Genomic DNA, 13,440 nt, shown 5'->3' with positions numbered 1-13,440 from the left:
TTTGATGTCCATAAGGAGCACAGGGGAGAAAGCCCTTTCAAAAACAACTCTATCCCTGTCCGTGTTAGGAAAAAGAGGGAGATGGGAAAGACATACTCCTTGTTCACTGAGAGATAATGAAGTCGCGTTCCTGGGTAGATGTAAATAAGGTGCTTTCATCTCCCTCCTCCCCCCACACCTCAATGAGTGGAAATGTGAAATTCAGGAGGCTTGGTTACCTGATCTTTCAGGGAAAAGTAGCCCTCAGAATTTTAGTGTTACAAAATGTTTGAGTTGGAAGAACCCTGACAGAGCTCCTATTCCAATCCCGTTACTCTGTAGATAAAAAAAAAAAAGCAAGGCCCACAGAGACGCAATGACCTGGCACAGACGGCATGGCTGAGGCTGAGCTTTGCTCTGCCATTCCTAGTGCATGACTCTAGGCAACTCATGTCACCTAGTTGTGCCTCAGTTTCCTCTCTACCAAGTGAAGGCTGTGATCTCTTATGAAATTGTTTGGAGGAGCTCATAAAATAATGTATTTTATGTGAATAATGTAATGAATTGTAAATCTTTTTCCTAAAAAACAAACAAACAAAAAACAAGTTACACAAATATCAGAGCACAGAGGACAAAAGCCTTTTACAGAGGGGCAAATTCTTTAGGGCACTGCTTGCACCATGCAGCTTTGTGAAGAATCTAGATCCCTAAGAGCTCTCAATCAGCGTTGCCAGTTAATGACAATGTTGACTCATTGGGGCTTCTCCAGGAGGGTGAGCAGTAACAAGGTCTTCGTGGGGTTGTAGATGTGTACTGGGTAATGTCTGGTAGGCAGGGGCTTGGAAAAAGCATTTATTTAGAGGGACATCACAGATACAATATTGCAAAGAACTCCTTTGTAAATAAAACTTACTTAAAAATCCATATCCAGCCAGGTATGGTGGTTCAACACCTATAATCCCAAAGCTTGGGGTAGCTGCGGTGGGAGGATCTCTTGAGGCCAGGAGTGCAAGACCAGCCTGAGAAACATTGAAACCCCATCTCTACAAAAAATAAACAAATTAGCTGGGCGTGGTGGCATGCACCTGTAGTCCCAGTTGGGAGGCTGAGGTGGGAGGATCACTGGAGACCAGGAGTTGGAGGCTGCAGTGAGCTATGATGGCACCATTGCACTCAAGTCTGGGTGACAGAGCCAGAGTCTGTCTCTAAATAAAAAAAAATAAAAATCTGACTAGGCCGGGCACAATAGCTCACACCTGTAATCCTAGCACCTTGGGAGGCCGAGGCGGGTGGATCACTTGAGCTCAGGAGTTTGAGACCAGCCTGGCCAACATGGTGAAACCCTGTCTCTACTAAAAATACAAAAGTTAGCTGGGCGTGGTGGTGCATGCCTGTAATCCCAGCTATTCGGGAGGCTGAGGCAGGAGAATCGCTTGAACCCAGGAGGTGGAGGTTGTAGTGAGCTGAGATCGCACCACTGCACTCGAGCCTGGGTGACAGAGTGAGACTCCATCTAAAAAAAAAAAACCTAACTCAAGAGCTGCAGAAAAGAGGCAATATCAAGCACTTTCAGTGAGCAATGGATATGGTTTGGTACAAACTGAGGCCAGCACTTGCTAAAGTTGGGGAGAGGGAGTCTGGTATGCCAGGGTTTGCCTCCCCTGCAATGTAAGTTTCTTTCTACAGTCCGCAGCCATCTCCTGATCATCTATACTTCTGCCAGTCTGGCTCCCTGACTTGCCTTGAACTTTATTCCCTCCTTATGATGTTAACAAACGTCCACTAGGTGTCACTCTGATGTTCTCCTGGAGACAGCACAGGTCGCTGGTTAAAGCAGGGAAGCTTGGCTGGGGATGAGAGGATTGCTTGAGCCCAGGAGTTCGAGACCTGCCTGAATAACACAAGGAGACCCTGTCTCTACAAAAAATTTTAAAGAATTAAGCCGCCGTGGCTCACGCCTGTAATCCCAACACTTTGGGAGGCCAAGGTGGGCAGATCACCTGAGGCCAGGAGTTTGAGACCAGCCTGGCCAACATGGCAAAATCCTGTCTTCACTAAAAATACAAAACTTAGCCGGGTGTGGTGGCAGGCGCCTGTAATCCCAGCTATTTGTGAGGCTGAAGCATGAGAATCTCTTGAACGCGGGAGGCGGAGGTTTCAGTGAGCCGAGATCGCATCACTGCACTCCAGCCTGGGGGATTAAGCGAGACTCTGTCTCCAAAAAAAAGAAAACAAAAAAAATTAAAGAATTAATTGGACGTGGTGGTGCACACCTGTAGTCCCAGCTACGTGGGAAGATTGCTTGAGCCTAGGAGGTTGAGGCTGCAGTGAGCTGTGATTGTACCACTGCACTCCAGTCTGGGCCACAGAGTAAGACCCCGTCTCTTAAACAACAACAACAACAAAGACTAAGGATGCTGGAGTCTGCCTGCTAGATCTGAACATCAGTTGTGCCAATTACTAGCTGTGCATCACTGGACAGATTATTTAACTTCTCTTTGCCTCATCTGCCAAATGGGAATAACAATAGGACATACCTCATGAGATTGTTATGAAAATTAAATTAGTTAATATAATAGGAAAGGCTGGGCACAGTGGCTCACGCCTGTAATCCCAGCACTTGGGAGGATGAGGTGGGTGGATCCCTGAGGTCAGGAGTTCGAGACCACCCTGACCAACATGGTGAAACCCTATCTCTACTAAAAATACAAAAATTAGCCAGGCATGGTGGTGGGCACCTGTAATCCCAGCTACTTGGGAGGCTGAGGCACGAGAATCACTTCAACCTGGGAGGTGGAGGTTGCAGTGAGCTGAGATCATGCCACTGCACTCCAGCCTGGGCAACACAGAAATACTCCATCTCAAAAAAAAAAAAAAAAAGATTCATTAGCCGGGCATAATGGCATGCACCTATAGTCCCAGCTACCTGGGAGGCTGAGGTGGGCGATCACTTGAGCCTAGGAGGTCAAAGCTGCAGTGAGCTGTGATTGTGCCACTACACTCCAGACTGGGTGACAGAGCAAGAACTTGTCTCAAAAAAAAATACATATATATGTATATATATATATTTTATGTATATACATATATTTTTATGTATATACATATACATATACGTGTATATGTATATACATGTATACATATATACACGTATACATGTATACGTGTATATATATATATATATATATATATATATATATATATATATATATTAGGAAAACACTTAGAATTGTGCCTGGCGTGTGGTCAGTGATATATAAATGTTGGAAGAGGGAGATAGGAAAGACACACTCCTTGTTCATTGGCAGATAATGAAGAAATATTCCAGGGAGGATGCGAATAAGGAGGTTTAGTCTCCCCCTTCCCACCCACACATCAAATAAAATAAATTATAAGGGAAGTGGCTTCTGTACACCTCTCTGAGCTTGAGGACAGAGCTTCATGATGACACATACTGCAGCAAATCATAAGCCAAAGAACAGAGTTGTTGGCAGTGAATTTACTGTTGGGATATTACAGATTGAATACAATGTATTAAATAGATTGGATAAGGCCAAGAGGACAGATTGGTATCTAGAAGGCACTGATGGAATTTTCCTCTAGAATGCCAGGAAGGAGCTCTACCCTCACAATACAGGCTTCATGCCTCCTCAACTGTGCAGGGGAGGAGGTCAGGGCAAAGTGCTTTCGCCAGGAGATAAGAGGATCCATCTTTATGCCTAGTGACACAGCCTCTCTCTGAGTTCCAGAACAGCAGAACACCCAGGGCAAATGGGCAGGCCTGCTGGGTAGAAGATAAAGTGTGTGTTAAATGACTGACATTGGGTGGGAACAGGGGCCCCATCTCTGATTGGTGAGTTAGACAGAGTCTCTCACCAATCTCTGATTGGTGAGTTAGACAGAGTCTCTCACCAATCTCTGATTGGTGAGTCCTGGGCAGGAAACCAAATAAGACTTGGCTTGGCATCAGTCCCATGCTTCAGACCCACCTATCTTTGGTCTTTCAAGTTAAACCCAAAGCAGCATCCATCATCTGTGTTTTCTTCACTTTTGTGTCCCATTCCTTCCAGGATGCCTTCCTCCTTTTCCTGCCAGGCCCACTCTGGTGGAGTGGAAAAGTCCAATGCTTTGATACCAGGTAAATGCTGTATTTTATCTTGCCTTTCAACACACTCGTTATTGGTTCATTGTTCAAACATCCATGTCTTTGGCATAGTCAGTCACAAGGGTCCATCTCTAGAGGACATGGATTCTGCCTGTTTGCTTGATTTCGCTTGAAGGTACATCACTCAGCACAATTACTTATTAAAAGGCATTTGATTATAACTGTCAGTGTTGAAAGTATATTTCCAGACAAGAGCTTCATCTGTTAATGAGGTTGCATCCAGTCTTCTTTTTAATTTTCTTGAGCTCCTTTCAGATAAATTGGAAAACAAATACCCTCAATTAAGACATAATTGATATTGAGAAGCCTACCTCCAAATGGCCTGAATGTCTATGGAGTGATTAAGAGCATGGGCTCTGGAGTCTACAGTTTATCTCCAACACTTTGCTAGCTGTGTAACACTGACTAGCAATGTTGGGCAAGTGACTGACCTTTCTGAAAAATATAAACCTCATCTGCAAAATGGAGCTATTTCATAGGACACTTCTGAGGATTAAATAAAATGATGCAGGTAAAGCATTTGTCACATTGCTTAAACATGCTCACATATCACCCTTAACAGCTACATTTTAAATTAGGAATTCTTTTGCTGACTTACATCATCTTCCCAAGGGCAAATTGATTAGCCTACCTACTGTGGGTGGCAAGCCACCCAGGTGCCGAGGCAAGAGACCAAGGACACGAGCTGTTCCAGTATAATAAAATATAAAACAAGAATAGTTATACCGGATATAGATCTTAGATATGATTATATATGAATATAATTAATCATTAGTAGTACTTATTCTTTATTCCAATATTATAATAATCCTCACTCTATAATCATAGCCTAGGAAAAACCAGGCCATACAGAGATAGGAGCTGAGGGGACATAGTGAGGAGTGACCAGAAGACAAGAGTGCGAGCCTTCTGTTATGCCCAGACAGGGCCACCAGAGGGCTCCTTGGTCTAGCGGTAATGCCAGCATCTGGGAAGACGCCCGTTGCCAGGCGGACCGTGGTCTAGCGGTAGTCTAAGTGTCAAGGAAAAACACCCGCTACTTAGCAGACCAGGAAAGGGAGTCTCCCTTTCCCCGGGGGAGTTTAGAGAAGACTCTACTCCTCCACCTCTTGTGGAGGGCCTGACATTAGTCAGGCTCACCCGCAGTTATCGGGAGGCCTAACCATCTCCCTGTGATGCTGTGCTTCAGTGGTCACGCTCCTAGTCTGCCTTCACGTTCCATCCTGTACACCTGGCTCTGCCTTTTAGATAACAGTAGCAAAATTAGTGAAAGTACTAAAAGTCTCTGATATGCAGAAATAATGGTGTAAGCTGCCTCTCTCTCTCCCTCTCTCTCTCTGCCTCGGCTGCCAGGCAGGGAAGGGCCCCCTGTCCAGTGGACATGTGACCCACATGGGCTTACCTATCATTGGAGATGGCTCACTCTCCTTATCCTGCCCCTTTGTCTTGTATCCAATAAATATCAGTGCAGCCTGGCATTCGGGGCCACTACCGGTCTCCGCATCTTGGTGGTAGTGGTCCCCCGGGCCCAGCTGTCTTTTCTTTTATCTCTGTCTTCTGTCTTTATTTCTACACTCTCTCATCTCCGCAGATGGGGAGAGACCCACCGACCCTGTGGGGCTGGTCCCTACAGCCTACCAAATTGTAAACTCTGAAAGGCAAAAACGTATTTAATTTTTAATCACTTTAGAGACTTTAAAAATTTTGCTGACTTATTTTTTTTTTCTCTGAGACAGAGTCTCACTCTGTCACCCAGGACGCAATCTCGACTCACTGCAACCTCCACCCCACCCCAACCTCCACCCCCACCCTGCCATCCCTCACCTCTGGGCTCAAGCGATCCTCCCACCTCAGCCTTTTGAGTAGCTGGGACTACAGGCTTGCACCACTATGCCCAGCTAAATTTTTTTTGTATTTTTTGTAGAGACGGGGTTTTTATCATGTTGCCCAGGCTGGTCCTGAACTGGGCTCAAGTGATCCGCCTGCCTCGGCCTCCCAAAGTGCTGGGATTACAGACATGAGCCACCTGGCCTGCTGACTTTTTAAATCTTTTATACATACATACACACACACAAACATATATATATTCTCAAGATTTTTTTAGACCACAATCTAGTTCTGTCCAACAAAAAAATTCCATGGAATGGCACATTTATAATTTATTTTCTTGCTCTTTTGTAAAGCAAGAAAAAAATTATCATTTCTGTTTACCTCTGCAAAGAAATCAGCAGAATTAAATATAGTATAAGAAAATAATTCAAAAGAAAAAATATAGATAGATAAATATGTACAGTCAGCCCTCCATATCCACGAGATCTACGTCTGTGGATTCAACCAAATGGGGATAATACAGTATTCTCAGCATGCAGAACCCACAGTTACAGAGGCTTACTTTTCACATCCGGGTGTTCAGCAGGGCCAACTGCAGGACCTGAGCATCCTCAGATGTTGGTATTCAAGGGGATCCTGGAACTAATTCCCCTTCAGTATCGAGGGATGACCATGTATCTATATAGTCACGCACCACACAACAACATTTTGGTCAGTGATGGACCACATATATGAAAGTGGTCCCATTAGATTATAAACTGTATTTTAACCATATCTTTTCTGTGTTTAGATACGTTTTGATACACAAATGCTCACCATTGTGTTACTGTTGCCTACAGTATTCAGTGTAGTAACATGTTGTAGTTCGTGCCTCGCAGCAATGGGGGATGGTTTTATGGCATTGAGCCGTAACCTGTGGGATCACCAGGTGTCAGAATTGAATTGAATTATAAGACATCCAGCTGGTGTCTGTTACAGAATTGCTTGTTTGGTGTGTGAGGAAAAAAACTCACACATATCTGGTATCAAAAGTGTTGTGCTGAATGACTGTGTAAGAGAATAGGAAAAAGACACTTTGGGCTGGGTGTGGTGGCTCATGCCTCCAATCCTAGCATTTTGGGAGACCGAGGCGGGCAGATCACTTGAGGCCAGGAACTTGAGACCAGCCTGGGCAACATGATGAAATCCTATCTCTATAAAAGATACAATAATTATCCAGGCATGGTGGCACATGCCTGTAGTCCCAGGTACTCAGGAGGCTTTGGCAGGAGGATCATTTGAGCCCAGGATGTGGAGGTTGCAGTGAGCCAAGATCGTGCCATTGCACTCCAGCCTGGGCGACAGAGTAAGACACTGTCTCAAAAAAAAAAAAAAAAGACACTTTGTTTTTTTTTCCCTTGATATCTCAAGTACATATATTCTGTTTATATCAACAGATATATATATATATATATATTCTGTGTAAGCAACACTACGTGCTTTAAAAAATGTTTAAAAATTGAAATATGTACAATTGTAGGGGAATAGCTAAATTAAGTATGACATAACATGATTGGAATTTTTGCAGTCATTTAAATTAGTGACTATTAGAGAGATGGAAAAGTATTTACAAAATAAGTGAGAATATAGAAATATAAAACTATATGCAATTATGACTATGTAAAAATCATGTGATATATTCATTTATGCAACTTTAACCTTCTAGACTTTTTAAATTTTGAACTTTTACAAGCATGCCCATGCGTTACTCAGATAATAAAAACTAATGGATATACATAAATATTAGATAAGAGCACAAATGAAGGAAAAAGTAAGTTAAAGATCATAAATTAATTTTAGTACAACCATCTTTTGTAAAATTTCAAAGTTTATTGATTTATTTTTATTTATTATCTTTTTTTTTTTTATGGAGTCTCACTCTGTTGCCCATGCTGGAACGCAGTGGTGCAATCTCGGCTCACTGCAACCTCTGCCTCCTGGGTTCAGGCGATTCTCCTCCCTCAGCCTTCCAAGTAGCTGAGATTATAGGCATGCACCACCACACCCGGCTAATTTTCGTATTTTTAGTAGAGATGGGGTTTTGCCATGTTGGCCAAGCTGGTCTTGAACTCCTGATCTCAGGTGATCTGCCTGCCTCGGCCTCAGAAAGTGCTGGGATTACAGGCATGAGCCACCACGTCCGGCCTTTTTTTTTTTGAGATGGAGTCTCTGTTGCCCAGGCTGGAGTGCAGTGGCGTGATCTTGGCTCACCTCCACCTCCCGGGTTCAAGAGATTCTCCTGCCTCAGCCTCCCGAGTAGCTGGAATCACAGGCGCCCACTGCCACACCCGGCTAATTTTTGCATTTTTAGTAGAGACAGGGTTTCACCATGTTGGCCAGGCTGGTCTCAAACTCCTGACCTCAGGTGATCCGCCTGCCTTGGCCTCCCAAAGTGCTGGGATTACAGGTGTGAGCCACCGCACCTGGCCCAGCTTTTTTTCTGAGACAGAGTCTCAAGTCTTGCTCTGTCGCCCAGGTTGGAGTGCAGAGGTGCAATCTCAGCTCACTGCAGCCTCTGCCTCCCAGGTTCAAGCCATTTTCCTGTCTCGGCCTCCCTAGTAGCTGGGATTACAGGTGCACGTTACCACACCTGGCTAATTTTTGTATTTTTAGGCTGGTCTCGAACTTCTGACCTCAAATGATCCACCCGTCTCAGCCTCCCAAAGTGCTGGGATTACAGGTGTGAGCCACCACACCTGGCCCAAAGTTAATTTAATAATTATGTATTTTAAACTAAGTAGAAATATTTAGAAGGATAGCAATGCTTTAAGTGAGATATTAATATAGCATATCATGTTTTTTAAGTCATTCAACAAATATTTACTAAGTTCCACTATGCTTAAGGCTCTGCGCTAGGTGCTAGGGACATAGTAATGAACAACACAGATTTATCAAGGCAGGCAAGTTGTGAACAAGGAAGTTCATCTTTAGGCTTCCATATTTCTTCTCACTAGAATCCTCCAAATCATTCCCTATTTGCTCTAATCACCCCTTCCAAAAATCTTCCCTAAGAGGTACATCTCATAATTTAAATCTCCTCTGCCTTCCTCCTCCCCACCCCATCGATAGCCCATGCTAGCTTGGCCTGTGTGACTGTGTCCCATTCCTTCTAGCAATCTGCTGTCCCCGCTTGGCTGTGTTAATAGATTGCCCCTGGCCTCCCAAAATGCTGGGATTTACAGGCATGAACCACTGCACCTGCCTGCAATTAAAATTTTTAAAAATGTGGCCGGGCATGGTGGCTCATGCCCGTAATTCCAGCACTTTGGGAGGCTGAGGTGGGCGGATCACCTGAGGTCAGGAGTTTGAGACCAGCCTGGCCAACATGGTGAAACCCAGTCTCTACTAAAAGTACAAAAATTAGCCAGGCATGGTAGTAGGTGCCTGTAATCCCAGCTACCCGGGAGGCTGAGGCAAGAGAATCGTTTGAACCCGGGAGGCAGAGGTTGCAGTGAGCCGAGATCATGCCATTGCACTCCAGCATGGGGAACAAGAGCAAGACTTCGTCTCAAAAAAAAAATTTTTTTTTAATGTAGGTATGATGGTCTCTATGAACCAGACTGAGAATCTACCACTGCCAGGTTTATTCTGTTCCCCATCCCCCCACAGGGCCTTACCCTAGGCACTTACTTCAGGGTGTTCAGGACAGGCTGGTCTCTCTGCTTGACAGGTGCTATGATTTGAATGTGGTTTGTGCCAACCAAAACTCATGTTGAAATTTACTTGCCAACATGATGGTGTTTGGAGGCAGGGTCTTTAAGAGGTGACTGGGTTATTAGGATGGATGAATGACTTCCTCTGGGTGGGTTATCGAGAGAATGGATTAGCTCTCCTGAGAGTAGGTTGTTATAAAGCAGGTCAGCCTATTTTGTCCTCTCTCTCTGGCACATGCTTGCTTGCCCTTCTGCTTCTCTGCCATGTTAGGACACAGGTCAAAGGCCCTCACCAGAAGCTGACCAGATGAGCTGCTCAATCTTGGACTTCCCAGCCTCTAGAACTGTGAACCAAAATAAATCTCTTTTCTTTGTAAATTACCCAGTCTCAGGGTGCATTCCTAAGGTGTATCAGATAACTCTGGGTGACAAGACAGGCAGAACCTCATTATCAGCCTCTCAAGCCTGAGTGAAATGTTTTCATTTTAATAATTGTGGAGTGGTGTCTCATTAATGGTTTTAATTTGCATTTCCTTAAAGAGTGATGATGTTGAACATCTATTCAGTTGGTTATTTATGCCTGTGTCTCTTCTTTTTTTGCATTGTCTGTTCCAACATGTTGCCCATTTATAAACTTAGATGGTTTTCTCATTATTTAATTTTGAGAGTAATTTACATATTTTGGATGAGAGTACTTTTTTTTGTTGTTGTTGGTGTTTAACAAGACTTGACAGATGCAAGCACTTTATCAGAAATCTGATTTTCAAATATTTTCTCTCAGCCTGTGACGATCTTTTCATTTTTTCAACAGCGTCTTTTGAAAGCAGTTCTTAAATTTTTTTGAATGTGCCAAACACATTCATATTTATTTTCTTTTTTTAAAAGTAAATAATAAACAGCAGTTTATCAGTTTGTTAAACAAAAAAAATGACAGGCTGAGGTAAGTCTCCATCAGCCAAAGTTTATTGAGTCCAAGCTTGAGGAAGTGCCCAGGAAAAACACAAGGCACAGAAAGAGTCTGTGGCATGGATTCTCTGAAGAGGTTTTAAGGAGATTTAGTATTTATACATATCCTTAAACAGGGGAAGGCATGGCCAGGCACGGTGGCTCAAGCCTGTAATCCCAGCATTTTGGGAGGCCGAGGCAGGCAGATCACCTGAGGTCGGGAGTTGGAGACCAGCCTGACCAACATGAAGAAACCCCATCTCTACTAAAAATACAAAATTAGATGGGCGTGGTGGTACATGCCTATAATCCCAGCTACTCGGGAGGCTGAGGCAGGAGAATCGCTTGAACCTGGGAGGCGGAAGTTGTGGTAAGGCAAGATCACGCCATTGCACTCCAGCCTGGCCAACAAGAGCGAAACTCTATCTCAAAAAAAAAAAAGAGGGGTGGGGAAGGCATGTAGGATGAGGGGCAGGTAAGTAGTGAGACAGGGAATGGTTATATTCTTGTGAGACTTTAGTTAGTGCCCAGTAGATCTGCATTTTACATAAGATAAGGTGAACTTCTGAAGGAAAAAAAGGGAGTAAAGGAAGAATTAATTGTGCAGGTGTCTCCGGGTAGGTGGAAGCATGATTAATCTCATCTTCGCTTTGTTCTGCACCTGGAAAGATAAGCTTGGAATCAACATTATCCGTGTAGAAAGGAACAACATTGGTTTCAGGAGCTACATTTAGATTGCAGACCTAAAGTTACAATCAACATGCCCTCATTTTACGGGTGGATATACATCTTGACATCTTGAAAGTTTTTGAGGCAGCAAAATATTTAAGTGTGACTGATTTGTGGGGCAAACATCTGGAGCTGCCTGAGGCCTTTTGCATCCTGTGGGGGTCTGGCTAATGCTTCATGCTTTCACACAAGCTTGTGAAGTAGCAGCTTTGCACTTGGCAAAAGCATGGCAGTGTTGTGTGGCACAACCTCCAGGCTTAACTTTCTCTTTGGCATAAGGAGTTTGGGGATCCTGAGATTCTTTTTATTTTCCTTTATAAGTTTTACTTTTTTAAAACCTAAGCTTAACATTACATATTTAAACAACTGTCAAAACTTACTAAGTTGCCAGCCAGCATTCACGCACAACTAGAAAACATGCTTAATTTATATTAAACCAGAAATATATTACCATTAATATCTTTCAGTACTAAATACTGGGGAAAAAAAGCAATTATTTCTGTAGAAGATTCATCCTGAACAATGTTAACTTATCAGCAGGCTGACACCACTTGCATCACATTTCAAGAAAAATTGAAAATCAGATACATTGGTAGTGTACAATCTTGTACACTACCGAAGAATCATAGCTGGATGGGTGCAGTGGCTTCCACCTGTATTCCCAGCACTTTGGGAGGCTGAGGCGGGAGGCTTCCGTGATAGTTAAACTCTGCCTGTTGAAAAAAAACAAACCGGGGATGGTGGCAAAGTCACGCCTGTAATCCCAACACTGTGAGAGGCCGATGCAGAAGGACTGATTGAGTCCAGGAGCTTGAGACCAGCCTGGGCAACATGGAGAAACCCTGTCTCTACAAAAAATACAAAAATTAGCTAGGCATGCTGGTGCATGCCTGTAGTCCCAGCTACTCGGGAGGCCTAGGTGGGTGGGAAGATTGCTTGAGCCTGGGAGGTTGAGGCTGCAGTGAGCCAAGATGGAGCCATAGCCTGGGTGACAAAGCGACACCCTGTCTCAAATAAATAAATAAATAAATGAGTCACAGCTTACTTTGGATTATGTTTAATTAAGAAAAGCAAAGTGCATACAGAGATTTATAACTTTAAAAACAAAAAAAAAAAGTCTTTTTATATGATCCAAAGAATAAACTCAAAAGTCCATGACAAATAGAAGTTCTAAACAATTGTTTACAAATACTTTAGGTATAATTACAGTAAAAGTCAAGTTCATTTGAAATCACCAAAAAAAAAGTTTCAGGTTGGACACGGTGGCTCACCACCTGTAATCCCAGTATTTAGGGATTTTCTTACAATAAAAGGCATACAGGTTGATTATTTTAGGCATACAGGTTGATTATTTTAGGCATACAGGTTGATTATTAAATGACATGATTGCCCATATATAAAATTTTAAGGAATCTAAAAACAAAAAACAGCTTCCAAAACTAGTGAGTTTAGAAGCACAGAGGATGCAACATAAATATATGAAAATCGATTGTATTTCTATATAGTAACAAAAAACAAGTAGACACTAAAATTAAAACTACTATGTTGTTTATAATCATTCGAAAAGGTAAATACTTAGCTATAAATCTCACAAAACATGGACAGAACTCATAAGCTGAAACCTACACAGTGCTGAGGAAAACAGTCCCTGGATCATCCTGCAGCCTGGAGGGCACCGCCTCGGCGGCCCGGCTGACTCTCACGGCCCTGGGACTTTCAGGGTGGAGCGTGAACAGGCTTCCGGGAAACATCTTCCATCAGCCAAACCGTCCCGCTGCCTTATTGAAGAAGTCCATCTTCCAGTTTTTCTGCTCATATCTCTGAATCTCTCCTTGGCAAAGGCTCACGTGGGCTCCGGCACGGGCGTCATGCGGAGGACAAGGAAGGGGAGCCGCGCGTCTGGGGGTGACTCCCGGAGCCCCGCCTGCACCCAGGCCCGCCCTTCCTGCGCAGTGGCCCTGCCTGAGGCTGCTTTCCACCAGCGGGAATCGAAACTGATCTAGATGAGAACACATATGTGGAGGGAGGAGACTTGGCTAGAAAGGAGAAAGAGCAAGAACACCTTTATGAGGCAGAGAAGGGACAGTGACGAGGATTAGGGTT

At 43.7% G+C, this 13,440-nt stretch overlaps 3 annotated features.

The window, feature by feature from the left end:
- Positions 5,106-5,345: an enhancer, noted in NCBI's record as "active region_12025". NCBI's record gives its function as "activates an Ori minimal core promoter by ATAC-STARR-seq in GM12878 lymphoblastoid cells {active_cell/tissue: GM12878}" and the evidence as "EXISTENCE:reporter gene assay evidence [ECO:0000049][PMID:35858748]".
- Positions 13,101-13,160: an enhancer, noted in NCBI's record as "active region_12024". NCBI's record gives its function as "activates an Ori minimal core promoter by ATAC-STARR-seq in GM12878 lymphoblastoid cells {active_cell/tissue: GM12878}" and the evidence as "EXISTENCE:reporter gene assay evidence [ECO:0000049][PMID:35858748]".
- Positions 13,221-13,440: an enhancer, noted in NCBI's record as "active region_12023". NCBI's record gives its function as "activates an Ori minimal core promoter by ATAC-STARR-seq in GM12878 lymphoblastoid cells {active_cell/tissue: GM12878}" and the evidence as "EXISTENCE:reporter gene assay evidence [ECO:0000049][PMID:35858748]".

This window comes from Homo sapiens, chromosome 17 (genome assembly GCF_000001405.40).
Source record: "Homo sapiens chromosome 17, GRCh38.p14 Primary Assembly".
Lineage (NCBI taxonomy): Eukaryota > Metazoa > Chordata > Mammalia > Primates > Hominidae > Homo > Homo sapiens.
Note: the sequence above shows the minus strand (reverse complement) of the source record. Positions and strands in the feature narration are given on the sequence as shown.